This window comes from Homo sapiens, chromosome 22, assembly GCF_000001405.40.
Source record: "Homo sapiens chromosome 22, GRCh38.p14 Primary Assembly".
NCBI lineage: Eukaryota > Metazoa > Chordata > Mammalia > Primates > Hominidae > Homo > Homo sapiens.
This window is the reverse complement of record NC_000022.11, coordinates 29,672,185-29,699,177: the sequence shown is the minus strand read 5'-3', so window position 1 is coordinate 29,699,177 and position 26,993 is coordinate 29,672,185. Positions and strand designations below refer to the sequence as shown.

General features: G+C 50.9%; 1 protein-coding gene across 26 annotated transcripts in view, besides 8 other annotated features; it reads right to left on the bottom strand.

The window, feature by feature from the left end:
• Positions 578-26,993, bottom strand: part of NF2 (NF2, moesin-ezrin-radixin like (MERLIN) tumor suppressor) — a 95,045-nt gene continuing 68,629 nt past the window's right edge. For 7 of the 26 annotated variants that reach the window (NM_001407056.1, NM_001407067.1, NM_001407065.1 and 4 more), the window contains 6 exons: positions 25,692-25,909; positions 24,237-24,342; positions 20,855-20,982; positions 17,577-17,739; positions 16,114-16,158; positions 580-4,426 (listed from right to left, as the gene is read on the bottom strand). In NM_001407056.1, coding sequence (NP_001393985.1) covers positions 16,123-16,158; positions 17,577-17,739; positions 20,855-20,982; positions 24,237-24,342; positions 25,692-25,909 — 651 coding nt within the window. In that variant the 3' untranslated portion in view covers positions 580-4,426; positions 16,114-16,122. Of the gene's footprint in view, positions 4,427-15,002; positions 16,159-17,576; positions 17,740-20,854; positions 20,983-24,236; positions 24,343-25,691; positions 25,910-26,993 lie in introns of those variants that run through there. The other 19 variants (NM_001407053.1, NM_000268.4, NM_001407057.1 and 16 more) reach the window with 10 other exon arrangements.
• Positions 6,086-6,706: an enhancer, noted in NCBI's record as "H3K4me1 hESC enhancer chr22:30088461-30089081 (GRCh37/hg19 assembly coordinates)". NCBI's record gives its function as "activates a minimal SCP1, AML or CMV promoter by ChIP-STARR-seq in naive H9 embryonic stem cells {active_cell/tissue: H9 hESC(naive)}" and the evidence as "EXISTENCE:reporter gene assay evidence [ECO:0000049][PMID:30033119]".
• Positions 6,707-7,328: an enhancer, noted in NCBI's record as "H3K4me1 hESC enhancer chr22:30087839-30088460 (GRCh37/hg19 assembly coordinates)". NCBI's record gives its function as "activates a minimal SCP1, AML or CMV promoter by ChIP-STARR-seq in primed H9 embryonic stem cells {active_cell/tissue: H9 hESC(primed)}" and the evidence as "EXISTENCE:reporter gene assay evidence [ECO:0000049][PMID:30033119]".
• Positions 7,329-7,949: an enhancer, noted in NCBI's record as "H3K4me1 hESC enhancer chr22:30087218-30087838 (GRCh37/hg19 assembly coordinates)". NCBI's record gives its function as "activates a minimal SCP1, AML or CMV promoter by ChIP-STARR-seq in primed H9 embryonic stem cells {active_cell/tissue: H9 hESC(primed)}" and the evidence as "EXISTENCE:reporter gene assay evidence [ECO:0000049][PMID:30033119]".
• Positions 9,149-9,380: a silencer, noted in NCBI's record as "fragment chr22:30085787-30086018 (GRCh37/hg19 assembly coordinates)". NCBI's record gives its function as "represses an EF-1alpha promoter that drives an FKBP-Casp9 reporter gene in an ReSE screen in HepG2 liver carcinoma cells {active_cell/tissue: HepG2}" and the evidence as "EXISTENCE:reporter gene assay evidence [ECO:0000049][PMID:32094911]".
• Positions 9,149-9,733: a biological region, named in NCBI's record as "NANOG-H3K4me1 hESC enhancer GRCh37_chr22:30085434-30085934".
• Positions 9,233-9,733: an enhancer, noted in NCBI's record as "NANOG-H3K4me1 hESC enhancer chr22:30085434-30085934 (GRCh37/hg19 assembly coordinates)". NCBI's record gives its function as "activates a minimal SCP1, AML or CMV promoter by ChIP-STARR-seq in primed H9 embryonic stem cells {active_cell/tissue: H9 hESC(primed)}" and the evidence as "EXISTENCE:reporter gene assay evidence [ECO:0000049][PMID:30033119]".
• Positions 9,953-10,452: an enhancer, noted in NCBI's record as "H3K4me1 hESC enhancer chr22:30084715-30085214 (GRCh37/hg19 assembly coordinates)". NCBI's record gives its function as "activates a minimal SCP1, AML or CMV promoter by ChIP-STARR-seq in naive H9 embryonic stem cells {active_cell/tissue: H9 hESC(naive)}" and the evidence as "EXISTENCE:reporter gene assay evidence [ECO:0000049][PMID:30033119]".
• Positions 10,453-10,954: an enhancer, noted in NCBI's record as "H3K4me1 hESC enhancer chr22:30084213-30084714 (GRCh37/hg19 assembly coordinates)". NCBI's record gives its function as "activates a minimal SCP1, AML or CMV promoter by ChIP-STARR-seq in naive H9 embryonic stem cells {active_cell/tissue: H9 hESC(naive)}" and the evidence as "EXISTENCE:reporter gene assay evidence [ECO:0000049][PMID:30033119]".

The following is a 26,993-nucleotide window of genomic DNA, read 5'->3' as shown; positions in this document are numbered from 1 at the left end:
GGACAGAGTTATCCTATAGAAGTTTTGGTCTTAATAAAGGACTTTTGTTGCTTAAGAAAACAGAAGCAAAACCCAAACTATAAGCTCTGCAGTGGTGATTTCCAACTTCAAGTGCAAATGTCACATAGCCCTGACAGTGGCTGCGCCTCATTTACTCTGCAGACAGCGCCTGGGCCCCAGGGGCTCTGCATGCACCCCCAGAGCCTGGAACGCCGAAAACAGAAATGTCTGGAAGGATCACCCAGCCCAGCTCCCTAGTTCTCTGGTCTGAAATCACGGATGGGCAGGGACCACAGAGAGGAAATGGAGTGCTGGGACGCCATGCAGGGCCCTTGCCACCCCCCAAGTGCCCCAGGAAGAGGGAGGCAGTTCCCTGGCGAAGGTGTCATTAGAGGTCTGTGGAAGGAGGTGATTCTTTTGCCACCAAAGACAAGGGGCCAGAGGTGAAGGCCCAAGCAGTGAGAGACAGCAGAGGGCTCGTTTCTCCACAGAACCACAAGACAGCCCCACCACCCAGCCGTGTTCTTGACGCCTCAATGGCCTGAGCAACAGGCAAACTGAGGAAGCCCAAGGCAAGTATTTTCCAGCTTAGAATTTTTATTAAAACAATCATTTAAGTTATAATCGTTCCCCAGAATAGAAAATAGCCTTCTATGATCTGGCCCTGATAGGAGGCAGGACTCGGGCCCTACAGGAAGAAGTGACGTTTGACATCTTTGAAAATGGATGGCGCTTCCCTGAAAGCCCTGGAGGGGCTGGCTTGGGCCCAGGGTCACTGGGCCAGGCTGTCTCCCTGCCAACGCTGCTCCCTCCAGGGGTGGTGAGGCCCCACCCTGTCAGTGAGGAACACTTAGACACTGCAGCTGGTTGTCAGTCTCTGGGCTTTTGACAAAAAAAAGAGAGGGAAAGAGAGAAACCTGTCCCCAAAATTACAAGACACAGCCACTCATGAAGTGTTATGTAATGCCACGGGGTGCTATCTAGCAGGGCCTGGCAGGTACATGAATAATAGGGTGGACAACACAGGTTGGGGGGACTGCTGTGGCTGAGGTGGGGCCTTGATCAGGATGAACGAAGCCATCTGTGCCACACAGCTGCACACGGCTACTGGCCAAAAGGACAGCCTCACGGACATCATGAGCTGGGCAGTGACCTCATGAATGGTCCCGGTGCTGTGGGGCTTCTGCCTGAGAGCCAGCAGAAGGGCTCGTAATGAAACCACCATGGTCAGGACGCTGCTCTTTGGGCTTGAGACTTCCTTACTTGACAAACTCCCAGGCCCTAAAATGTTCGCTTAAAAAGGACGCAGTCTGGCCAAGCGCGGTGGCTCATGCCTGTAATCCCAGCACTTTGGGAGGCCGAGGTGGGCAGATCACCTGAGGTCGGGAGTTCGAGACCAGCCTGACCGACATGGAGAAACCCCGTCTCCACTAAAAATACAAAATTAGCCGGACGTGGAGGTGCGTGCCTGTAATCCCAGCTACTCGGGAGGCTGAGGCAGGAGAATTGCTTGAATCCGGGAGGCGGAGGTTGCGGTGAGCCGAGATCACGCCATTGCACTCCAGCCTGGGCGACAAAGGCAAAAACTCCGTCTCAAAAAAAAAAAAAAAAGGATGCAGTCATCCCAGCCACAGGAACCAGTCTGTGAAAACCAGGCATCTCTTTCTTTCTTTCTCCTGCTACTGGGGCTTGAGATGCTCCTGAGGCCCATCCTCCTCTCCACCTTCTCCATCTGTGGGGAGGCACCTCAGTATTCCTGCCTCAAGGAGGGGGAAGTGCTCCTGGCTGAGCAAGGTCCTGCAGTTCCCAGCCTGCTCCCTGGAGCCCCAGGTGCTTCTGCCACAGCTCAAACACCAGCCAGCTCCCTTGAGGCCGCGTGGCTTGGCACTTCCCAGACTTCAGAAGTAGACACGGCAGCTAAAGAAGGAAACAAAGCCCGACAGCGTTTTTATAAACCACCATATGCTCCCACCTGCAGCCATTGTTAAAGAACAAATTTACAGGTCAGGAGGAAAGTAACTCCTGGTGGAAATCCAGGGATGGGCTTCAAGACTGAGAAGAGACCGGGCATGGTGGCTCACGCCTATAATCCCAGAACTTTGGGAAGCCGGGGTGGGAGGATCACCTGAGGTCAGGAGTTCGAGACCAGTCTGGCTAACATGGCGAAACCCCATCTCTACTAAAAATACAAAAATTAGCCAGGCATGGTGGCACACGCCTGTAGTCCCAGCTACTCGGGAGGCTGAGGCAGGAGAATCTCTTGTACCTGGGAGGCGGAGGTTGCAGTGAGCTGAGATCGTGACACTGCACTCCAGCCTGGGCGACAGAGCGAGACTCCATCTCAAAAAAAAAACAGAAACAGAAACAGAAAAAAAAAAAAAACGGAGGAGGCAGAGCCAGACCTCACTTTACAAACGCCTGAAGCTTCCGCTCCTGGCTGGGTCACACTAGGAAGACACAGGGCCACAACATCCATACTTACGCTCTAGGTCTGGAGTCCCACCCTGTAGACCCTAAGTGGCTGGGTGGCACCCAGGGCTGGTTTCCTTGGGGCAAGGTGACCCAAGCAGTTGCCGAGCAGCCCAACCCCATTAGGTCAGCCTGATAGTAGGAAGAAGGCAGGATCTCTGTGCTCTGTGAGCTGCTAAGTTTCTCAAAACCAGATGGAATTGCCAGAGACCACCTCTGCTCTCCAAAAATCTTGAGGCCCCCATAGCCTCTATCTTTTATCTGATTAAGACAAATCACCTGCTTTGCATAACAGCCAAACTGGAAGGATCTCAAGGGCCCTGGCTGGCCACAGCAGCATCAGCCATGGAGAAAAGAAAGGGCAAGAAGGGGCTGGGTGCAGTGGCTCATGCCTGTAATCCCAGGTGTGAGTTTGAGACCAGCCTAGCTAACATGGCAAAACCCCGTCCCTATTAAAAATACAGAACATTGGCCAAGTGTGGTGGTGCATGCCTGTAGTCCCAGCTACTTGGGAGGCTGAGGCAGGAGAATTGCTTGAACTCAGGAGGTGGAGGTTGCAGTGAGCCGAGATTGTGCCACCACACTCCCACCTGGGTGACAGAGAGAGACTCCATCTCGGAAAAAAAAAAAAAAAAAAAAAAAGAAAGGGCAAGAAGGTGGCCCCAGACCAAGGAGTGAGCCGTGGGGGTGGTTCTGTGGCCCTCTGTTGCCTGGCATGGAGGTGGGTCCTGTGACAGCCTAGGTGAGCGCCACCTGTGAGTGGACACCTGCATCAGGCCTGTGCTGGGAGGGGCACAAAGGGCCCTGGCTGGCCCCCAGGGAACAGAAAATTCAGGGCCCGAAGAGGGACAAGGGCAACAGCAAAGTGAGGCCTGGGTACAACAGTGGGTTGGGAAGTGGGCTGTGGCCACTGGCACGTGGCTGGGAGGGAAGGTGAAGCAGATGGGCCGTGCAGACTGGGCCGGTGGAGCTCAGAGTCTGGGCCAGTGAGAAGCAGCACCTGTGGAGCCACAGGGCTTACAGATCCCTGGTCATAGCCGGGTTACGGGTGCTGACTGCAGTACGACCAGGGAGTACCCCAGCCCCACACAGGAAGGAGCGTCTATGGGCGTCGGGCAATGGGGAAGACATGAGTGGCTCCTGCCTGCCTCTCGGACCCTGGTCTAGGGTGGCCGGAGGGGGACAGCGAGTGCCCTGTACCATCAGCTCCCGCACGGCACTACCCAGCCCCTCGGCTGGCAGTCAGCCTGCATCACAGCTTCTGCCTAAAGTCTCTCCCCAGCCACAGCTGCCCTGCCTATTCCCCACCAGCTGCCAGCCAGAGCGCCGCCTCGGGGTGCCTGGCGGGGACCCAGCACTTGCTCGTCACGAGCTCTGGGCGGGCTCCCTGACGATGAGAAGCCGGCAGGCGTGCTGGCCTGGGATCCGCCGGGCTGGGCTGCTTCGCTGCATGCCAGGTCCTCACCGGTGGGGGAATGAATGTTCCGGAACCCTGGGCGGGGTGGGGATGATGGCACTGGCTTCTCAGGGCTTCAGTGTCTCACTCCCTACAATGACTTCCCAGGCTGGGCGGTGGAGGTCAGCTCTGGAGTGCAAGACACACACACACCGGTGCCTTGGACGAAGGGAGTCAGGAATCCCACATTAGACAAAGGAAGACAAATACTTCTTAAAACAAAGACTCAGGTCAGAGAACTAGAACGCCATGAGAGAAATCTCTACAGGGTCGTAGTTCAAGGCAATTGCACATAAGAGGGGCTGGGCTCTTCACTCAGCTGGGGAAAGTTCTGGAGCTCCCACGGAAACCCCCAGCCAGCTCCCTATGGATGGCTCTCTTGATATCTGGTCCATCCCGCGGTCCCGGTAGCAGGAGAAGTGGCAGGTCCTGGGGTGGCTGGGTCACCTGCTAGAGCTCTTCAAAGAAGGCCACTCGGGACTTGGCGCTCTGCAAGGTGAGCTGTAAGAAAGCAGAGAAGAAGCTGAGAGGGCACAAGACCTCCGCTCTGTCACACAGGGTCCTGTCCTGCCACTTGGACTCACCTCAAAGGTGGCTGGGAGCGAAAGGGAAGGCTGTTCAAATAGATGCTCAAGAAGTTGGCTGTCAGTCCCAAATAAGCGGCCAGATTTGCCCAATAATTCAAATTAGGAGGTGACAAATGAGGATGTGCAAGGGGAAGGCTGGTGGGCAGAGGCACGCCAGCAGGAAAAAGCCGTCAGCATTGCCTCTTGACAGAGGACCGGAGATCCCTGCCTATTTTAATAGATTCTCACATTCCCATCTACCAAGGTCCCTGAGCCACCTCTGTGGTGTGCTGTCTGTGGCGGCACCAGCTGAGGCTGCTCATCCCCTCCGGGCTTGGCAGGGCAAGCATCTTAGTCCTCATGCCCTGGCAACATGGCTGGGGTAAGGTGACGTGGCCTGAGGCAAGGCAGGCCTGTGGCAGATGAGGAAGAGTTTACCCCTTCTACTCCTGGTTTCCCAGGTGGTCCCGAAGCAAACTTGCTCATGACGTGGCAGCTGAGAAGGTGTTTCTCTCCATGAGCTGGAGGCAACGGCTTTCTCAGTGTGGCTTGTGCAGGCAGGGAGGGCTGGTGCACACAGGTGGCACTCTGCCCAGCAAATGTAAAGAAGGACAGTCAGGGAGATGTGGAAGGGGATGGGGTGGATCAGGGACCGAGCTCTTGGCATAGTGAGGTTTGCAACCTCCTAAGCCCTTGACTCTGGGCCACTTCCCAGCATCTCCCTGGATAGAAGCATCTGGAGCCAGCACTCTCCCTACTCCCTGCTCTCTGCTGACTCCTGAAATCAATGCCTTGGGTGTGACTGTGTTCCATTTCCAGCTCCGGGACTTCCCACAGGAGTGCGGGGGTGGAGGGGAGGGAGTCTGTACCATTCATCTTCATATCCCCCAAATATCTGGCTTAGTGTTATGTGCCGATCAGGAGCTCAATGTTTGTTAAGCGACCAGGACGTGGGCTATGAAGATAACTAAACTGAGGTTCGCGGGAGAGGCAAGAGCTCCACACCCGGCTGAGAAGGTCCGAGAGCTCACTCTCTGCCATCAGCAGCTCACTGCAGACACCCCTGACCTCTCTGAGCCTCTTTCCTCTGGAGGTTGCCATGGGGCAGGCAAGATGGTCTGGCCCATTCTCTGGACCCCTCGAGTCTGCATGTGAAGAGTCCTCGGTACTATCGGCGGCTCCATAAAGGGCAGGGGAGGGAGACTCCAAACCCACCACTTCACCATCAGAAGACAGACAGCATTAGTGTGCTCAGAATGAGACAGCTTGAGAGCAACTCTTTAAATCCTGCCAAATCTTTTGGCCTTGAAGTTCCCGACTAACAAGCGGAATGTGGGGAGGCAGCTCAGCTGCCTTCTTCAGTGGAACCAATTTCAGAGCCCTTTGGAAAGCCCGGTTCTGATGGGAATGGAGAGCGCTTTTTTGCCTAAATGGAACTCCCTCTAGAAGGGAGCTGCATCAGGATGGGCTTCTCCCTAAATGTAATCAGAGGAGAAGGGCCAGGAGTTATGTGCCCTGTGATGATGGGAACCAGAATGGTCACTGGGGAAGAAAGGAGGAAGAGATTTAGCTGCCAGATAACTACTGGGGCAAAAATGAGAGAGGGTTTAAATGAAAGCATGTGAGCCCAGTATCTCCGCTCAGGTTTCTGAAAAGAACAGCCACTTTGAGTCAGATACAGGCACAGTCAGCTGCCTGGTGCAAGGCCCAGCTGGGCCACTGACCAGCTGTGTGGCCCTGGGCAGGTCACTTGCTCCCCTCTAGCCTCAGTTCCTCACTGTGAAGCGGGCGTGATGGCAGCCCCTTCCTCGTGGGGTGACAGGCAGAGGAATTGGGAACCGCGTGTGATGCACTCAACACTGCACCTGGCGCATGGTGGGAACTCGGCAGCTGTTATTGCTAATAGCAACATCACGTTTCTCCCCTCCCTGGGGAGGGAGGAGCCCTGGCCCCTCTCCTTCCAGTGGGGAGCAGGGTGCTCGTTAGGAAGGGGTGCAGGCAACAACAAGGTCACGTATGGCACTGGCCTCCATGCCTACCAGGCGGGCCAAGTGATGCCCCTATGAAGCCTGGCCACTTCCCCAGGCAGGGAGCCCAGGCTGTGGGGGCCTTGAGAGGCTCCTGCCCATTTGTGCAATGTTGGCTCCAAGAATTCCTGGATCCTCCACCCGAGGAGCATGCTGGCTGTCCCCTCGAGGTGCTAGGGGAGGGTTCTGGCACTGCCAGCAGCACCAGATTCCAGTGACTCGAGCATGTGCTTATTAGGATGCAGAGTGCTCTGGGGTGGGTGGGGTGCTTCCTGAGCCCCACCTGAGCTGCACTGCAGCGCCTCAGCCCCACCTCTTATCTTGCAAGAGCAGGAGCTTCGCCTCAGCCACAAGTAAAGGTAGAGAGGGAAATCAGTCTGCCCACACAGAAGTAGGAAGGCACCACAGCCACTGGGCAGGAGAGAGAGCCACAGTCCTCCAGAAGGCACTGAGGCGGTCAGAGGGGAAGGCAGACCCACCAGCTGGAGGCAGCCACGACCTGGCTGCACTGGTCAGCAAGGGCTGCTGCCCGAGGGCCCTGGGAGCCTTCGGCCACTGCTGCTCGCCCCTTAGACAGACCTGGCTGCTGCCGCCCCATCCTTTACCCTCATTGTGCAATTCCTATGGGTTCCAATCCCCACAGGAGCCCCGGAGTCAGAATTTACTGCACAATGCTCCTCCCTGCTGCTGGAGGCCACCCCCATGGCTCTGCTTCCACCTTGGGGGTATCCTTTATCTCAGACACCACAATGCCCTCCTCCCAGCAGGTGAAGAAGGCAGGCAGTGAGACGAGGAGAGCCCTTGAGCTTCTTTCCTGCAGGTAGCAGCTCAGTGGAGCCATTTGCCCTCAGGCAGTTTTTCTACAGAGAGCTTGGGAAGCCACCCCGCGGAGCATGCAAACAGCTCTGCCACCTGCACGCCCTGCCTGGGCACTGTCTCGCCCCTCCAGTGGGCAGGCTCCTCACCTGTGGATCTTTCACCATCTGCTGCTTCTAGAAAGCTCACTGGCTGTTACATTTACAGTACACCCATAGGCAGGAAGTATTCATAAAGGAAAAGGCAAAAGCTCAGAAGAAATGGCAAAAAGCTAGCCCTTCATAAAATAAACTCTGCCTCCGAGTCTTCTTTTTAAACACATGAAAACCAGCTAACAAGTTTCCTGGTTCCCCTGCGATGCTCTCATACCCTAAGGTGTGCAGGCCCATCAGTGTTAGGTACATCTTCCTGCTCAGCAACCGGCCTGGGTCCCTCTACACTGCCCAGCAACACCTGCTTGCTAGAGCCAGAAGAGGCCTCCCAAGAAGGCCTTCACCTTGTCCTATGTTGCACTGTGAGTTGAGCACTGAAGCCACTCTGGTGAGTCCCATTCCCACCCTGAATTCCAAACAAAAATGTCCATGCTCCCTTTGGCAATCCAGCAACAGCCCTCCCCTTGCCCAACCTTGCCTGCCTGGGGAGTGGAGTCCCCCCAGGAGGGCGGGGAATTCCTCGCATGCACAATGAGTATCTTGAAGGTTATCCAGGAAGAAGAGGTCTCCAAATTTCAGCAGGTAATGAAGCAGAAGCACCTCAGGGTGTACAACCAGGGTCTCGAGGACAGTGGCTGCACCAGTCTGGGACTTGCCAAGTCTGGTCAACTGCCTTTGAATCCTTCTGAAGACAAGTGAGCCAAGCTCTGGTGAACCTGACCAGTGACGTCTGTCATGCACTGTCCTTCAAAACTTTCACTGAATCTAGACAAGGTCCAACCATGGGAGTCCCGCAGCCAGGCCCAGTTCCTTGGGCAGGCTATAAACCCAAGGGCCCTGCTCAGAGTCTCCAACCCAAAGCGCTCCTGCCAGTTCCCTGAAGATGCCTACAAGAACATGAAGCCTCCGCACCAGGCATGGGCTGACCCGCTGCTCTCCTCCAGCTGTCTCTTCACATCTGATTAGAATCAGCCGTGTGAATAACACAGGAGGAATTAAGTTCTCTCTCGACTGAACCGGCTGCTCAAGTCTGTCACTAATCCAATTCCATTCTGAGGAGACGAACTTCCTTTTCTTTCTCTGGGGCAGATCTATGAGGCTTTATTGCTATCTGACTGTTCATCTTCACATCCCCCCTCTGATCCACTTGTTGGGTCCTGGCTTTTACTTCCTGCCCAACATCGAGACTCAGCCCCGGCAGGGTCCCTTTTCCCCTGCCCACTTGTCCATAAAACTGCCAGCTGTTTGTGACAGCCAGCAGGCTGTGAGACGGCAGGGGAGAACTTAGGAGAGTTCCATTCTGGCAGAGCTGGGCCTCCTTACGCTCCCCAAATTGTGTGTGGTGTGACAAAAACAGACACATCCACCCAATCTAAACAAGTTCAGATTCAGGAGACACATCTGTCTACTTAAAAAGACAGAAGAGGCTGGCTAAAAGAACCTGGTACCCAGCCGGCACTCTCTAACCCAGGCATGCAATCTGCATCTTCAACTGTTCCTCCTCACTGCTACCTGAGGATTTTGGGTGGCCCATTAGGGTACTTCTGAGAAATGGCCCCAGGGTCTGGAGAAAGCAAGCCTGGAAGGCACCTGTGACAAACATTCTCCTGCTGCCCTGCCAGCAGCAGACGGCTTCCAGCTACAAAGCCTCCGCCAGCATCGTTCCTGAGTGCCCCCTGCTGGAAAACCACAGCATGAGGCGCACGGCCAACTCTCCTTCCAGCTCTCCTCTAAAAGCCCTTTTGGGGGATCGTTTCCCAAAGTGATGGGAGGGTAACTAAATGTATTCCGGCACGGAGCCTGCAGCAGCAAGGCTGCTTGATTAAGAATGAATTACACTTTCATCAGCACAGACAGAAAATTGATTCACAAGGCTGCATTGTGATCATCTTGTTCCTAAAGCAAGGGAAGGTTGGGGGAGACACAGAGCTACTTTGGCTATCAGTGGTGAGAGAAAGGAAGCTGTACAATTAAGCTGGGGAACAAAACTAATCAGAGCACCAGGATTCCTTCAACTAGTCTCTGGGGGCCTTGCCTCAATCCACTCATCCCAGGGGAGGAGAAAAGAAGGTAGGAGGGGACCATCTCATTCATTTTAAACAATAAGACTCACAGTACTGAACCCATTTTAGATACTAACCTAATAACTCCAGGCGCTGGGTCTCTGCTTGTCCCATAAAAATGCAGTGGAATTGAAATGTGAGCCCTAAAATCATGTTACACTTCCTCTCCACTACTACATATTGAAAACGAAGGAGCGGGGGAGGGTGTAGACACAAAAGGACGTGCAGATCCTCTGGCACCGGATCCACAGGGAGAAAGCAGACTCAGAGCAGAAAGGTGACAGCTGAATCCAGCAGCAGCAAATTCCAAAAGAATCTTTGGTTTGGGGTGTGGGAAACCTTCCCCCTTCCAAATAAGCAAAGAGGAAGGGCCAGTAAAGGGGGATGGCTGTACTAAGTGGCCAGATCAAGCTTTTCTTTACTTTCTCTTTTTTTTTTTTTTTTTTTTTTTGAGACGGAGTCTCACTCCGTTGCCAGGCTGAACTGCAGTGGCGCGATCTCCGCTCACTGCAGCCTCTGCCTCCTGGGTTTAAGTGATTCTCCTGCCTCAGCCTCCTGAGTAGCTGGAACTACAGGCGCATGCCACCACGCCCAGCTAATTTTTGTATTTTTAGTAGAGACAGGGTTTCACCATGTTGGCCAGGATGGTCTCAATCTCTTGACTTCGTGATCCGCCTGCCTCGGCCTCCCAAAGTGCTGGGATTACAGGCATAAGCCACCGCGTCCGGCCCAGATCAAGCTTTTCTGCAGTCTGGCTAGGGACAGCTGCACCCAAATGCCATATGGTGATGTGCACAGTGGGAGCACTATCCACACACTTATCCTACACAGAGGTGGAACGAAAGGCCAAGTCCACCCCAATGAACAAATCCAATTTGTTATTAGCGACTTTATCTGCTCTCAAGAGAAATCTGCCACTGAATACCCAAGGGGCCCTTTTTGTGTATTAATCCCTGAGGGACCCAAAGCAGCAAAAGCTGCCTGAAAACCTGTCTACCTGCTTTGCAGGCTGCCCTGTGGCACTGGCCGGCGGGGCCCTCCGCTGCTCCTCTGTTCCTTCCCCTGACAAATGGCCTAATGGGCCTGATTCACCTCACTGGGCAGGTGGCGGCTATCTACTGAGTGGTCTGAGCAAGAGCCTTAGGAAAAAGGTCCAGATAGACTGATGTCATTTTAAAATTGCCAACATCAAAAGAGAAATCACAGCAAGGATCATGAGAACAGAACCTCGGGCTCGCAGAACGAGTTTGCATCTGGCTCTTCCCTCCCACTGTTGCAGCAACGAATCCGGTGCCGAGGAGAGCTGCACTGAAACACATCTTCAGTGCCGAGGGGCCGAACAGGGTGTTTTACTGCCTCAAATAAGGCCTGGTAATATCCTCAGGCATCTCCAAATGGTGGTAAAGTACCTAGGCAGGCAAGGCAGGTTTGTAGGCTCTTCAACACCTCCCAAAGAACAACTGCTTGACCAGGTAAAGTCTCTTAACCAAAAACAGGATTGGCTTGTTGACTTTTAGAAGAGGCCGATACAGTCTTCTATCTAGAGCTACCAGAAACAAGCAAGAAAACTAAGCTCTCAACAGTTACGAGACACCAGGAACTCAGTGTGTGAGAGTGGTAGGAGTGGCCTTCAGGGATGAGCCCAAGGTGTCCCATCCGGGAGGAGCACTAAGAGCAGCCTGCAGTTCCTAATGCCTTCCCTGGGCTTCCACAGAGCCAGGAGGCGGAGAGGAAGAGTTCAGATCGCCACTGCAATTTCTTCCCAGTGTGCTATGCCCACATCTGGTGCTGCTACTGCTCCCTGTTAATCCTTGCTCCCCACCCCACTCCCCACTCCTTTTTCTTTCCTTCCCCCTCTCACCCCTGCCTTGCTCTAGCAGGGAAGGTTCAGGGCTGGGGAGCCAGTATGCTACCTTTTATGTCAAGGCCAAGATGCTCTACCATACAACGCCCAGTTCCTAAAGCAAGCAGAGCCATTCAGCCCACTGGGGTCATAAGGAGGGTTGGCTATATTAACTACCTATTAAACTTAAGTAATTTAGGAGCCATCTTCAGGGCTGGCAATGCAGACCAGAGGTCGCCAGGGAGGCTCTGGCCACTTGTTTTAATTGTGGGAGACACCTTTCCCGCATATGCAATCTCTCTCTGTGATTTATCACTTCCCCGGGTGTTTTTTTAACTGTTCTACTTCACTTCACTGGCTCTGCAACTCCAAGGGGAGCCTGCACAAATTGAAGATGACATTGGACTTTTATGTCTTCCTGATCCAAGAGAAGCTGCTGGCGCTTGAGATAAATGTCAAGGCTCCTCTTCTTCCTGTTCCTCCATCAGTGGAAACCACAGCTGGACCTTGACGGTTCAAACCATTTACTAATGAAATAAGCTTTCTAAGCTCCACCACCCCCATGATTTCTCATCCGTCAATTTCCTTGGAAATCCTGTGCTCCTTGGGAGACCACAGGCACAAAAGTGATGACTTTGTTTGCTGGCACTCAGACCAGCTCAGGATCGGGAGACTGAAACCCCTCTCTTGAGAAGCGATGAAAGAAAGACCCTGAATGTATATATTCCAGGACTGCATTCTACCATCAAGGTATGGTGGTACAGTTACGCCACACCAAGCCACCACTCCCATCATTGGCACTGTGGCTCTGAAGGCACGAAAGCCAGGCTCAAGGCACCCTGTGTCCCTCAACCCCAGCCTGATGGCCAGACTCACTCCCCTCACTCGGAAGGCTCAGATGCCAGGACACGTGTCGCTCCCACTGAGAATGAAACAATTCCAGGTTCCCCAGGGCGGCTTTTGATCGCTAGCACTGCTCTGACTCAGATGCAAATGGCAAACTAGTTGTACTGATCATCAATTGGGAAAAATGGAAATACAGGAAGTTAAGATTAGCAAGAGGAGAAAAATACATCCTTGCAAACCCAAGTGAAATATTACAAGGAAACAGTGAAGTTAATTATGGCTATTTATTTATTTATTTATGAGATGGAATCTTGCTCTTGTTGCCCAGGCTGGAGTGCAATGGCACGATCTTGGCTCACTGCAACCCCCACCTCCCAGGTTCAAGCAATTCTCCTGCCTCAGCCTCCCAAGTAGCTGGGTTTACAGGCATGCGCCACCACACCTGGCAAATTTTGTATTTTTGGTAGAGACGGGGTTTCTCCATGTTGGTCAGGCTGGTCTCGAACTCCTGACCTCAGGTGATTCACCTGCCTCGGCCTCCCAACGTGCTGGGATTATAGGCATGAGCCACTGTGCCCGGCCAATTATGGCTTTTTAAAAGTTTTTACTTTCAGCCACGTAGCAATTAATACAATGAATGAATATGCCCAGCACAAGCAGTGTACCTAGATGTGGCGGTGTGGCCCACATGCCGTCCTTCGCCCTTTGCTGCAGGATCACAAGCAGATTTTCCCTTTTCAGAGTTTTAACCCCTTACTGAGCTCTGACTGTGCACTGAGTGTTGCACACACATTCTCTCATTTATTCCTCACAACACTCCTGGGGGCAAAGACTATTTTTATCCACCTTTTGCAGGTGAGGACACTGTGCCTCAAGAGAGAGTAAGAATTCATCCTTTTTTATAGCTGCATGTATACATATGTAACAAACCTGCACGTTGTGCACATGTACCCTAGAACTTAAAGTATAATAAAAAAAAAAAAAGAGAGAGCGAGCGAGTAAGAATTATAGAGAAAGGAAGTGGCAGAGAAGTAGGAACCTCGGTTAATCAGACTGGATGGCCGCTCAGCATTCCTCAGGGAATGCGGTAACCCCTGGTAACCTAAGGGCAAACTCCTTGAATCAGCTTCAATGTTACACAGCCCCCATGGGTACTGCTGAAACCACACAGCAGACTCTGAGACCTCTCAGTGAGGCAGAAGAGTACTGAAAACGAGGACAAATACAATGGCCAGGCAAGATGGCTCATGTCTGTAATCCCAGCATTTTGGGAGGCTGTGGCAGGAAGATCACTTGAGCTCAGGAGTTCGAGACCAGCCTGGAAACATGGCGAAACCCATCTTTACAAAAATAAAAATAAAAAAATCAGTCAGGCATGGTGGCAAATGCCTGTAGTCCCAGCTACTTGGGAGGCTGACGTGGGAGGATCGCTTGAGCCCAGGAGGTCGAGGCTGTCACCAAGGTGGGTGACAGAGTGAGATCCTGTCTCAAACAAAACAAAACAAACAAAAAACCTTATTAAAAACAAAACAGGCCAGGCACAGTGGCTCACTTTTATAATCCCAGCACTCTGGGAGGCAGAGGCGGGCAGATTGGTTGAGCTCAGGAGTTCGAGACCAGCCTGGGCAACATGGCGAAACCCCATCTCTATAAAAAATACAAAAATTAGTTGAGTGTGGTGGCTAGTACCTCTAGTCTCAGCTACTTGGGAGGCTGAGGCAGGAGGATCACTTGAGCCTGTGAGGTGGAGGTTGCAGTGAGCCGAGAATGTACCAGCCTGGGTGACAGAGGGAGACCGTGTCTCAAAACAAAGCAAAACTAACATCAACACAGGCTGGTTTGATCCCAGATTAGCAAGCTTTTGGACATTGGAAACTGTTCCATTCACTATCAGCTTTTGCATCTCATCCCCAGGCATTCTAGATGGAGTTCTGCCCTTGACATCTAGGTATCCCCACATCCAAGCCTAAAGCAGTACTTCTCTTCAGCTAGGCTTGTGCCAGCCAGACTGCAGCATGCACCACCCCAGAGCCACCCTAGTGCAGGCATGTGGCTGCTCATCAGTCCCGGTCACTGACCACAGGCACTGCCAAAGTCTAGAAAATGGAACATGCACTGAACTTCATGTGCAGCAAAATTTAATAGTGCAGCATTATTGAATCTAGTGATGCTGAGAGAATGCCTGTCCCATTAAACATCAAGTCCCTGCTTTTATTAACCCTTGATTAACCCGAGTGTTTGATTAACTGCCTGGTAGCCTGCTTTAAAAACAAGTTCACATCGAGACATTAAAATGGATGAATAAATAAATGCATCCATGTATGTCCCAGGAGCAGTGCAAATTTAACTAAAAATGAAACTTCTTTTGTCTGCAGTAAAAGCTCAGTGAGAAATGACAGTCAAAATCAGGACCCTGAAGAATTTCAGCATTCTGCATCATTATAGAAAGAAGAAAGAGGAAGTCACATTCAGGTTGAGCAGCACCTTCCCATGGAGGGAACACCTGGCAGCACTGGCTGAAATGCAGCGGGGTTTTCTGCTTGCCCCCATGGTTACAAAAAGTTCAGTAAACCAAGGTGGGTCCACCTGGCTGCTCTGGGTGCCATGAGCTGGCCTGCCCGTGACAATGCTGGCCATAACTGCCCTGCTCAGAGCGCGGACTGTTCTGTATCAGGGTATCAATGCCAACAAGGATATGAAAGCTGAAGAAACAGGAGCCCGCTAAATGAAAGTGTCGCATACAAAACAGGGTTCATGTCATGGATTCTTGGAACCACTGACAGCTCAAGTGTACCTTTTAATAAGATCTATCAGGGACTTTAACAGCTGACCTCTCTTGATGGGATAACGACCACAAGTAGGATCTATCTTATGCCAGATCTCTTTTTGTTAGAAAGGTTCCAATGAGCTTATTCCACTCTATGAGCAGAAACTGCAGGGAAGACTCCAAAGGACACATCCTATGCTGCTGTCAGGTGGTGTGGGGCTTGTTGGCATGGGTACTACTGGGGATTAGGTGAGAAGTAGAGGCAGGATGTCATTTTATTATTGGGCAAAATACATTCTCTCCACTGCCTAGGCATGCTGGAGGAATAATGAACTGTTGCAGGAGAAAAGCAGCAAACATTCGGTTAATTCACTCAGCAACCAGTGACCGCTCCTCTCCAGGGTGCCGTGAGTGTACTGTTCCAATGTGAGTTCACTCTGACCACATCTCTGCTCAGCCTATGGAGAGGAAGCTGAAGCAGAGGTGGCTGAGCACAGATGAACAGACAGTCCACTCCCCGTGGACTCACATATCAGACCCTGTGCTCTGGGTTTGCTTTATTTGAAAAGAAAAGGGATGTGTGCAGAAAGGGAAAGCTCTAAAGGAAAATGAGCCAGCACAAGCAACCCTTTTGCCCCACTACCAGAAGCTGCCAGGTGTGACCATGGGTCTTGAGAGGCTGTCAACGCATAAAAGGTCTTGATCTTGAGTTAAACACACCAGTCTCCAAAGTGCCCAGATTGACCCCATTTCCATGCTAGGAGTATGCCACCAAGACAAAGGACTTTTAGACACACCTGACTGGACAAGAAGCCATAACCTTCCCCAGCCCAACAATGACCCGAGATGGGAAGAATGGCTGGTCCTACAGCCCCATGACATGCTCTTCGGAACGAGGCAGTCTTCTGGGGCCCTGGAGGCTGGTCTGGCTTCACAGGGTGGGTGCCTACTTTTAGACTCAAAGCATGCTGCGGCCAGTACCCAGGCACCACCTGCCCTCGTAAGGGCTCAGTGTGGCCCGAGGACAGAGACAGGCAAGCTCATGCACGGGTTAGTATCACAGAGGGCAGCACCATCACCACATAGAGAGTACCTGGGAACAACCTACTTTGAGGGCTCAAATGCAGATAGGTCTTCTGCCTTGGGCTTGAGGCTAAACCAGCAAAATAAAATGAAGAAAAACAAAAACATACCCTGTGATATCAACAATGCCATAAGTGCCATCTGCAAAATGCTTGGATAGGCCTGAAATCGTGATGAGTGATTTTGTTTGTTTTAATGGCTTGGAACGGGGTCTCTCCAGCTCTCACACTGCAGGTTTCTGTGGCTGAGGGCACTGCTCATTGCAGCAGCAGTGGAAATGGTGAGACTGTTCCTGGGACCCAGATGACAAGGCTGGGGGTAAGGGGTGAGATGGGGTGTCTGAGGCAGTTCATTTAAGGGCTGACTGGCTCACTGGCTCAGCCATCGTTTTACCTCTTTCCTTAATGACCGAGGCCTCCCTTGAACTCCCCTTTACTGTTTAATAATTTTGTTTTGGAAGGGAAGCCCAGTAAATTACAGAAGCCAGAGGAAAGAAGAATGTGGAATGTGGAAATGCCTTTCCTTCTAGGTTGCACTATTAAAAGGAATTCTCTACCCGGTGCCAGTTGTGACTGGAGTCGAGAGGTAGAAGTCAGGGCTGCCTACTGTACCCAACAACGAAGGCAGGCAGAAACAGATCCCCTGGAGTTTTCAGATACAGCTTAACCACTAAAAACAGAGACAGTCCATAAAACTGGAAGCCTATTTTAAAGACTGAGGTAAAGAATAAAAAATTAACTGTATCAGTATCACCTAAACTCAATGGACAGTCTTATCTTAATAACACCTATTTTATAGGTGTTAACCTGGTCCTGGGCTATCAGTTAAGAGCAGAGCATTATTTGGTATGAGAGGACCCTTCTGCTTGGCCCAAATGAGAGAGGTATGCTCTTGGGCTGATAATTAGTATGGAATTTAGCTTCTGAATCTCGACAATGCTGAAAGCTCAAAATACCAGTAGAGAAAGATATGAAACCATTTGCAAAGTAATAAAGTCTTCTCTTTTAAAACAAAGAGGTTCTTTCCTAGACACTTCCTTTTAAGTATGAAAAAAGTTAAAAATTCAGTTTGGTTTTATAGTCCTTGCCACTTAAAGACACCACAAGACTAGAGGGAAAGTCCATTCTCAATAGCCTCCATTTCATTCTGCTTTCTCATAAAGTAAGGCAGCTCCCTGGGTATAACACCCCTTGGCTTAAAAGGGCATTATGCTTTACTGCTAAATGAGGGCTCAAAATCCACCCTGTAACAGGGGTTCATTACATCAGAGCTTTTAACACAAGCTCAACTTCCATCCAGCCAATGGGTTCATAGTCATTGGCAGATTAAATTCCCTTTCTGGCATAAGTTAAAAAATTTCCTCAACTAAGTACATACAAAAGATGCCAATAGTCTAGTGACTTGGCTACTGAGGAAACCAGATGCCAACCGCACATTTCATTAATGATGGTCCTGATCAGCAAAATACAAGAAAGAGACCCTGGGTACCTTTTTAATGGTATTGTGCTTGCTGCTGCCACCCCTGTCGGAGTTCTCATTGTGCAGAATATCCAGAGCTGTCTCCCTCTCTTTCAGTTTCAAGGCCTCGATTTCTGTCTTGAGTTCATTGAGCTGCTCCTGCAGATGCTTGCTCTTTTCCATGTATTCCACTCTGCCGGCAAGAGGGTATCATGCATCAGGGCTTGGGCAGACAGTGAGACACGGCTCAGGTGCTCTGCGGCCCACAAGCTGCTTGGTGTGCGATCTAGGGTTTGAGGCCTGGGGTTCACGTCTCTACTTGGCCACTCACAGGCCATGGGAGCTTGGGCTGGTCACTTAAATGCTATGAATGTTTCCTCATCATTAAAATTGGGATAATGATCACAGGGCCGTGGTTAGGATTAAATAAAACAGTGTAGGAGGCCAGGCACGGTGGCTCCACCTGTAATCCCAGTACTTTGGGTGGCTGAGGCAGGAGGATTGCTTGAGCCCAGGAGTTGGAGACCAGCTTGGGAAACATAGCAAGACCCTGTCTCTATTTTTAAAAAAAAAAAAAGAAAAGGAAAGAAAAAGAAAGAGTAGAAAAGCCCTTGGTAAATTCTCATAGGGGGCTCTACAAATACCAGCTCTCATGGACAGCTTTTCGTTCTGTACAAAAAAAAAACATACGTGAAACAAGCTTCCTGGGAACCCAGAACAATCTCCTTGTCTCAACCCTTCTTGGAGCAGTAATTCAAGTAAACTCTTTTTTTTTTTTATAGGATCTTGCTATGCTGCCCAGGCTGGCTTTGAACCCCTGGTCTCAAAGGGCTGGGATTATAGGCATAAGCCACAGCGCCCAGCTTCACGTGATCTCTTTTGATAGGCCACATCCACATTCCCACTTGTTCTGAGACTTCATCTAAAGATGACAGAAGCTCACTCAGAAGCTCACCCAACGCAAGGAAGAAAAGATCCCCACCCTCACCTGAGAACAGATAACACTGAGTGACAGCATCTATGATGGTGAAAATCTGGAAACCACCCACAAAGTGTCCAACTACAAGGCATGGCCAGAAAAACCATGCAATACAAATACCAAAAACACTCCATAGGGATTGCCATGGTTAGTATAGAGACTCTGCCAATATGTGCAAGGGTAAGAAGTGCTATGGTCTGAATGTTCGTGTCTTCAAAATTCATATGTGGAAACCTAATCACCGGCTGGGTGTGGTGGCTCACGCCTGTAATCCCAACACTTTGGGAGGCCAAGGTGGGCGGATCATGAGGTCAGGAGTTCGAGACCAGCCTGACCAACATGGTGAAACCCCATCTCTACTAAAAATACAAAAGTTAGCTGGGCGTGATAGCATGCGCCTGTAATCCCAGCTACTCAGGAGGCTGAGGCAGGAGAATCGCTTGCACCCAGGAGGTGGAGGTTACAGTGAGCCGAGATCGCACCACTGCACTCCAGCCTGGGCGATGGAGTGAGACTCCATCTCAAAAAAAAAAAAAGTGTCAGGAGGTGGGGCCTTTGGGCAGTCATGAGGGTAGAGCCTCATGAATGGGATTAGTGCCCTTATAAAAGAGACTCCAGAGAGACCCCTCATCCCTTCCACTGGGTGAGCATGCAGCAAAAAGGGGCTGATTATGAACCAGCAAGAATGCCCTCACTAGACTCCACCTCTGCCCGTGCCTTGATCTTGGCCTTCTCAGCCTCCCAAACTGTGAGAAATCAATTTCTTTCTTTTCTTTTTTTTTTTTTTGAGACAGGGTGTCTCTCTGTTGCCCAGGCTGGAGTGCAGTGGTGCAATCTGGGCTCACTGCAACCTCTGCCTCCCAGGCTCAAGCAATCCTCCCACCTCAGCCTCCCGAGTAGCTGGGACCACAGGCATGTGCCACCACACCCAGCTAATTTTTGTATTCTTAGTAGAAATGGGGTTTTGCCATGTTGCCCAGGCTGGTCTTGAACTCCTGGCTCAAGAGATCTGCCCCCCTTGGACTCCCAAAGTGCTGGAATTACAGGCATGAGCCACTGTGCCTGGCCAAGAAATAAATTTCTGTTGTTTATAAGCTACCCAGCCTCTGGTATTTTGTTACAGTAGCCAAAACAAACTAAGATAGTAACAAAATACAAACTATAAAATAGCAGACACAGAACAGCTTCACCCTGATCCCGGATCCCAACCACATAAATGTATATGTCTGGATAATGGTGAAAGGAACATGGACAGCAGATATGACAGCTAGAGGCTCTGGTTCATTGGCTACTTAGCTATACCCTCAGTGTGAGAGCCCAAAGAAAAACAGCCTGGGTTCTGGTTGCCCATACTGGACTCCATGGAGACACTTTCCCCAAAGGGTTTTCCTGAGGATACCACCCATGGTAAAAGCACATGGGCTGCAGAGTCAGATGGGTGAGGGGTTTCAACCCCTCTGCATCAGCTGTGGGATGCTGGTGGAGTTCACTAAACTCTCTAAATCTGAGTTCTCACTTATAAAATGGGAACATGAAAACCTACCTTTGATGTCATTTTGATGTTTGTAAGTTAGCAGGAATTAAATGAGACAAAAGCCAAAACCCCTGACACACAGGCACTCAATGCATGGTAGCTACTGTGGTTGTCCTCTAGCAAGCAGCAGCAGTTAACCAACTTACCGCTAGCTCTGGGAACTAGGGGCCCTCGCTTAGATTTCCTCTGCAGTGGGGATCCTTTCCTTTCCATCTCTGATCCACTTCTACCCACAATAAAGGGAAGACGGAGGGCAGCTCAGCAATTGCTGCCATGATCAGGCCATGCTGGGGCCCTGCCCAGTGCCACCCACTGCAGCAAAGTGGCCCCACCAGCTGTCAGCTTTCCTTAGCCTCGAGCCTGAGTCTCTTCTCTCACCTTTGTTTGTTCTAGACATGGGAACCACCACAGATCCCAGTTGCTGGAGAACACAACTAGGAGGTGACTACAGTCCAGTAGTATAACAGCAGTTGAACTGACTCAGAGATGCTAACAACCCAGTCCTACACTTTAGGTGAGGCTTAGAGCCACCAAAAACTCCAGCTCACCAGTCAAGTGTTATTTTTATCCTGGATAAAAATTGTTATTTTTATTCGTTCAGAATGAATGCTGATCTGTTGTCCTTAATTTCTGATTAAGGAAATTCTTCCTCCAGGGTGTAAGAGCAGAGCAAACCTTTGCAGGAGTAATGACAGGCTGCTGCAGCGACCTCTCACCTCTGCCCCAGCTTCCCAAGGCCCCAATCACTCAGTCTAGTTCACAGCTGCCCACAGCAGGGCACAGGGGGCTACATACTTTTCTTTCTCTATCTCCATGGAAAGCCGCTTCATGTCAGTATCTTTGAAGTCGAAAGACAGGCTGTCACCAATGAGGTTGAAGCTTGGTATGTCAGGAGGCAACGGTGCTGGAATTGGGTTCATGGGCTGTTAATGAGAAATTTCGGATTAGGAGCTTGGGTCATACAAGCACAGAAGGACACTACTGTGTTGACAACCGATCCTCCAGCAGCCACAGAGGCAATGGGCACAACTCGGGTCCCACCTCCCAATGCCACCACGAGTCCCCATCCCTCCACTTCACTCCCTCCACATTTGCCACTGCCAGGTAAACAATATCAAAGACTACAAATCCAGGAAAATCATCCCTCAAATCTCTAACCGTTCTTCATGCTCAGCTGAATCAAACACAAACTCCCACTCGCTTTTTCATTTAGGAAACTCCCAGGCCCTGTGCAAGGGGCTGGAGATGCAGAAAACAAGACAGCATCCTTGGCTTTGAGCAGCTGAAAGTCTTGTTCAGGAAATAGATGTGTTCACAGATCATCACTGTTAAAAAAGGTAAACACTGTAGCCAGGGAGCGAACAGAGGCTAGAAGAGATGCTGCTTTTGCTGGGATCCAAGGCAGTGCCAGGAGAAGGTCTGCCGGACGGGAAGTATGGCAATGGGTGGGGCAGTGCCCAGTGAGGGTGCCAGGAGTCTGCCATGCAGTGTGGAGAGGTGGGGTGGGAGATGGGCACCACCACAAAGGGCTCCCCACCGGCCCACCGAGGGGCTTGGGCTTGGACAATGGAACCGGAGTAGGGCCTGAAGCAGGGGTGGTGTAGTTTTTTTTTTTTTTGGACTTTCATCCCAGCACAAAGGGTCATCTAAAGAGGACCCCAATCTAGCTTCCCGGCTTCTCCTACTATTTGCCCTACTAAGTCACAGACAGTATTGTTTATTATCCCCTGGACTACTGCCTTCCCATCTCTGTACCCCTGCCTATCCCATTTCTCCTCCCTATGCTCCATCCCTCTTTCAAGGCCCTTCTCAAACACCACGATCTCTCACCAAAGCCTTTCTAGCCCCTCCCAGCCAGCCGGCAACCCTTTTCTTTGCTGTCCCTTAACGCTGTGTTTACGGTTCTCTAATGGTTCTTCTGCGATTCCACCCTGTAAAAGATTTCTTTTTGGCTGTATCTTCTTTCTACTATTTGCAAGTTTCCTGCAAACAATCTGCCTCTTTTTCATCCTTGGATCCCGTATTGAGTCTAGGACAGTGTCTGGGAAAGAGCAGAGGCTTGGAACATTCATTTGAGACATTCTCAAGGCCTGAGGCAGACCGTCTGCAAGGGTGCTGAGAGAAGGCTCCTTGGGTGCCAGGGATGTCCTGTTTTCTGATCTGGGTGCTGGGTACATGGGTATGTTCAGTTTGTGAAAATTCTTCAAACTGTACAGTTGTAATTTGGGCACTTCTCTATGTGTATGTTACACATCATAAAAATTTTCAGCAAAAACGCGTACTAGTTGCTGCACCACTAGTGAGAGCATGAACTGGTATGACTTCTTTGGAGAGTATCAAAATCGAAAATTTGACCCCACAGTTCTATTATAAGAATTTATTCTACCAATATATCCACGTGTGTGTGTCAAGATTTGTGTTCAGGGATGTTCAGTGTCATTTTGTTCAAAATTGCAAAAGAAAACAGACTAAATACTCATCCATGAGGGACTGGTTAAATAAATTACAATCCATCCACACAACAAAACATGATTAAAAAGCTGATATGGATGATCTCCTTCAGGATTGACTGCTAAGAGGAAAGAGCAGTTACAGCAGTGTATAAGCTTTGCTCCAGTGTATATTTTAAAAACAACACATATAGGCTGGGCACAGTGGCTCATGCCTATAATCCCAGCACTTTGGGAAGCTGAGGCAGGCAGATCACTTGAGCTCGGGAGTTTGAGACCAGCTGTGGCAACATGGCAAAACCCTGTCCCTACCAAATAAAAAAAAAAATTAGCTGGGCGTGGTGGTGCATGTCTGTGGTCCCAGCTACTCAGGAGACTGGGGCGGGAAGATCGCTTGAGCCTATGAGGCTAAGGTTGCAGTGAGCCGAGATTCTGCCACCGCATTCCAGCCTGGGTGACAGAGTAAATAAAACTCTCTCTCTCTAAAAAAAAAAATAATAAATAAAATAAAAAATAAAAACATAACACATCTCAGGTGTTCAGCCCAGTTGACTGCTCAGACGACTCCAGTCCCAGCTACCATCTGACTGTGACCACCAGAGAGATCCCCAGCAAGGATCTCTGTCTGGCCCAGTCAACCCAACAAGCCACCAGAGGTACTAACAAAGCCACACAGCTGGCTTGGGTGGGTTGTTACACAGTAACGGAGAACCGGGATATACGGCAACAGCAAACTGCTTACATTTTCCCCACCTCAAACCCTGGGCAGCTTGTGCCTCTGGTGCCCTTTGTGCATCTGGGTCATGTATGTGCCTGTGCCATGTGCATGAATGTAAGTATGGGTGCGTGTGTGTCCGTGCTGTGTGTGTGGATGTGCTATGTGCATCAATGTATGTATGGGTACGTGTGTGTGTCTGTGCCATGTAGATGACTGTGCTGTGTGTGAGTCTGGGCCATGTGTGCATCTGTGCCCTCACCCTGAATACCCTATGTTCTCTTCTCCACCTGGCTACTTCCTGCTCCCCCTTCAAGCATCAGTGTAGACACCACACTGAGCCTCTCCTGCTCCTCCAGGGTGGGCTGTGTCCTCCTCCTCTAGGCACCTGTGCACCCTGAGAACACCTGTCAGGATAGAGACTTCCAACTGCATGGCACTATGTGGACACTGAACAAATATGAAAAAAAAAAAAATGCCAAACTGAATGCACAGAAGAAAGGAAGGAAAGAGGCTTCTATTCATTTTGTGACCCCATTTAATGGAAGTCTGACTCTCTGTCCCCAAACTGAGAGTGGCTGCTCGTTCTTGCACGGCAGTAATTCACTCTGAGGTGTACAGCCAATCCCTTCCCAGAACTATAATTATGATATATGGTATATACTGATAGTTGAAGATTACATTCAGCTCAGCATTAAGAGGCAAGAGAGCAAATTCTCTTGAGGATAATTTGGGACTATATTACTTAGAAAAAGAAAAACATTCCAGAGCTGGAAAAGGCCCTGTTGCCTGTTATCCAGGCAACCAAAGAGACAACTAACTAGTCCAAAGCCAAATGGCAGACCAGGATGTTCTACCCAGTCCCTAACTGCAGGCTCTCTGCACCTCTCATCCAGCCATGTGTTTGCCTGAATGGTCACCCTGAAGGCACCGCCAGATGAACTGAAGGGCCGGGAGGAAAGAGAACATCACCAGGACTAAGGCAGCCCCAGCTGGTGGCCCCCAGGCTCACCGGGTACGTGGGCTTGGTGGCAATCTCCAGGAGCTTCTGCTTGGCTCTTCGCTCCGCCTCGCGTGCTTCCTGCAGGTCCTGCTTCAGCTGATCTGCCTCTTTGGCCCTGCAAGGAAAGGATGAGATGTCAGCTTCACAGAAGAGGGCAGGTAGCAGGAAAAGACACCACCCCACCCCTGCAGAGGAGGGACCTGGGCTAACCCTGAGGATGGCACCCAAAGAGGTGAAAAAGGACAGTGAGACAGGGATATTTACATGAAATCAGAACTTCCAAGCAAGGACAACATTCCTGAGGACTTTTGTTTGAGTTGGTAAATCTAAACTGGAAGAGCAGGAAAACTGGTGGGGAATGAGAGAAACCAGACCTTCTGCAGCCAGGAGACAGAGGAGCTGGAGAGGGCACCAGCAGCTTTCTCTGCTTTATTTTTGGGTGAGAGTGAGCTGGGCAAAGGAAGAACCTGGAGGATCAAAGTTCTTATATTGGATCGCAAAGGGCAGAATGTGCAAGAACTGCGTCTTCACAGCCCCCGGATAAAACACCAGTGGGCCTTGTGCCCACTTTCTCCAGCAGAAAGATGAGCCCAGTCACTGAGGGCACCCGCACCCTGGTGCAGATCCTCATCCTATGGGGCTCAGGTGGTCACGGCATGTGAGGCCTGGTGCAGGGACCTGGCCCAACCTGCATCATGCACAGGGAGTGACCCCCGAATACAGTAAGGGGCCTGAAGCAGGGCAGGCAAAAAGGAACCATATTCCCAGAACGACATGCAAAGCGTGGTGAGGAAAACTGTAGTGAATGCACCTTGGTAGCTAAAAGCCAAATTCAAGTGCTCTAAATCAACAGAGCCAAAAGCTGTGGGGAATGTGTCAGTGTTTATCTGAAGGTTGCAGGCCTAGAATAGTCTTTCAAAAGTACAGACAACAGTTCCATCCTTCAACCTGGCCATGAGTGGGACATCCCAGTCACAGAGATCATCCTAGCCCTCCTCCCCCATGTGCCAAGAAAGGCTGGGGGATGCAGGCACTAGCTTCCCTTTAAAGGTAGGCAGCTGCTGTTCTCCTGCAGCCCCACTGAATGAAAGCAGAAAAGAACCACACTTTTTTTAAATGCACAAAGAGCCTCCTCACATCTCTTCAGCTGAAAGCGGTCTGTGGATATGCTCAGGGGTTTTCCTGCACACACGGCCATCAGAGGGACAGGGGCTTATCAAAGAGACACAAGTATGACCAGAGAGGCCCCCCTGGAGGGGGAACTGAGTTCCTGTGCCCAACCAGTAGCGCCAGCCCCAAAATGGATAAAGCACCAGTCACCATCAGCCAAGGAGGAGCCTCCCCACGGCCCAGAAGATGGGCAAGCAGCTTGAGGACAACTGCTGTAGAGCTCAGCCTCAGGGCAGGCTGGTCTGCGGCCCTTCGCCAGCCTCCTCGCCAGTCTGGTGCCCGGTGCCCCCTCACCTCCTCTCTGACTCCTCAGCCATCTTCAGTGCCAGCACCTCGGCTTCCAGCACCTTCTGCTCCATCAGGCGCTTCTCCTCCTCCGTGCGAATCGCTGTGGCCTTGATGCGCTGCATTTCCTGCTCAGCCTCTGCGGCCTTCTGGGCCAGAAGTTTTGCCTCCTCCTCGGTGATCTGGGCCTTTTCAGCCAACAGGTCAGCTGTCTCCTCAGACCGCATCTGGAGGGCACAGTGCTCTTAGCTGAAGTGGGATCATGTGCTGTTCTCCCGCCCAGATCTGCCTTGAACACTGAGATGGGACAAACCAGAGTCTCGGACTCCTGGGGCCCTGCTGCTGAGTGCCCTCCATGACCCTCTGACAAGAAATGACAAGCCACATTCCCCAACTTTTCAGAAGGGCCCTTCGGGCTGCACCCATGGGGAGTAACAAGAGCACCTTCTCTGAGTACCCACCTCAGCTCAGGCTTATGCTTCACGTGGAGAAAAACAACTTAAACTCTGTTCTTTCCCTTTAAATCAGTGGTTAGAACCAGAGGAGTTTTTTGTCCCCTGCAAGAGACATGTGGCAGGTGGGGCACGGTGGCTCACGCCTATAATCCCAGCCTTTTGGGAGGCTGAGGCGGGCAGATCACCTGAGGTCAGGAGTTCAAGACCAGCCTGGCTAACATGGTGAAAACCCATTTCTACTAAAAATACAAAAAAAAAAAAGCTGGATGTGTTGGCGCGCACCTGTAATCCCAGCTACTTGGGAGGCTGAGGCAGGAGAATCGCTTGAACCCAGGAGGCGGAGGTTGCAGTGAGCCAAGATCATGCCATTGCACTCCAGCTTGGGCAACAAGAGTGAAACTCCATCTCAAAAAAAAAAAATAAAAGTACAGCTGGGCACGGTGGCTAACACCTATAATCCCAGCACTTTGGGAGGCTGAGGCGGGCAGATCACGAGGTCAGGAGTTCGAAACCAGCCTGACCAACATGGGGAAACCCCATCTCTACTAAAAATACAAAAATTAGCTGGGCATGGTGATGCATGCCTGTAATCCCAGCTGCTCAGGAGGCTGAGGCAGGAGAATTGCTTGAACCTGGGAGGTGAAGATTGCAGTAAGCTGAGATCGTGCCACTGTACACTCCAGCCTAGGCAACAGAGCGAGACTCCGTCTCAAAAAAAAAAAAAAAAAAAAGAGACATGTGGCAATGTCTGAAGATGTTTTGGATTGTTACAAATGGAGGGTGAGGTGCTGCTACTGGGATCTAGTTCCTACAGCAAAGGATGGTCAGCCCCAAATGTCAGTAGTGCCCAGGCTGA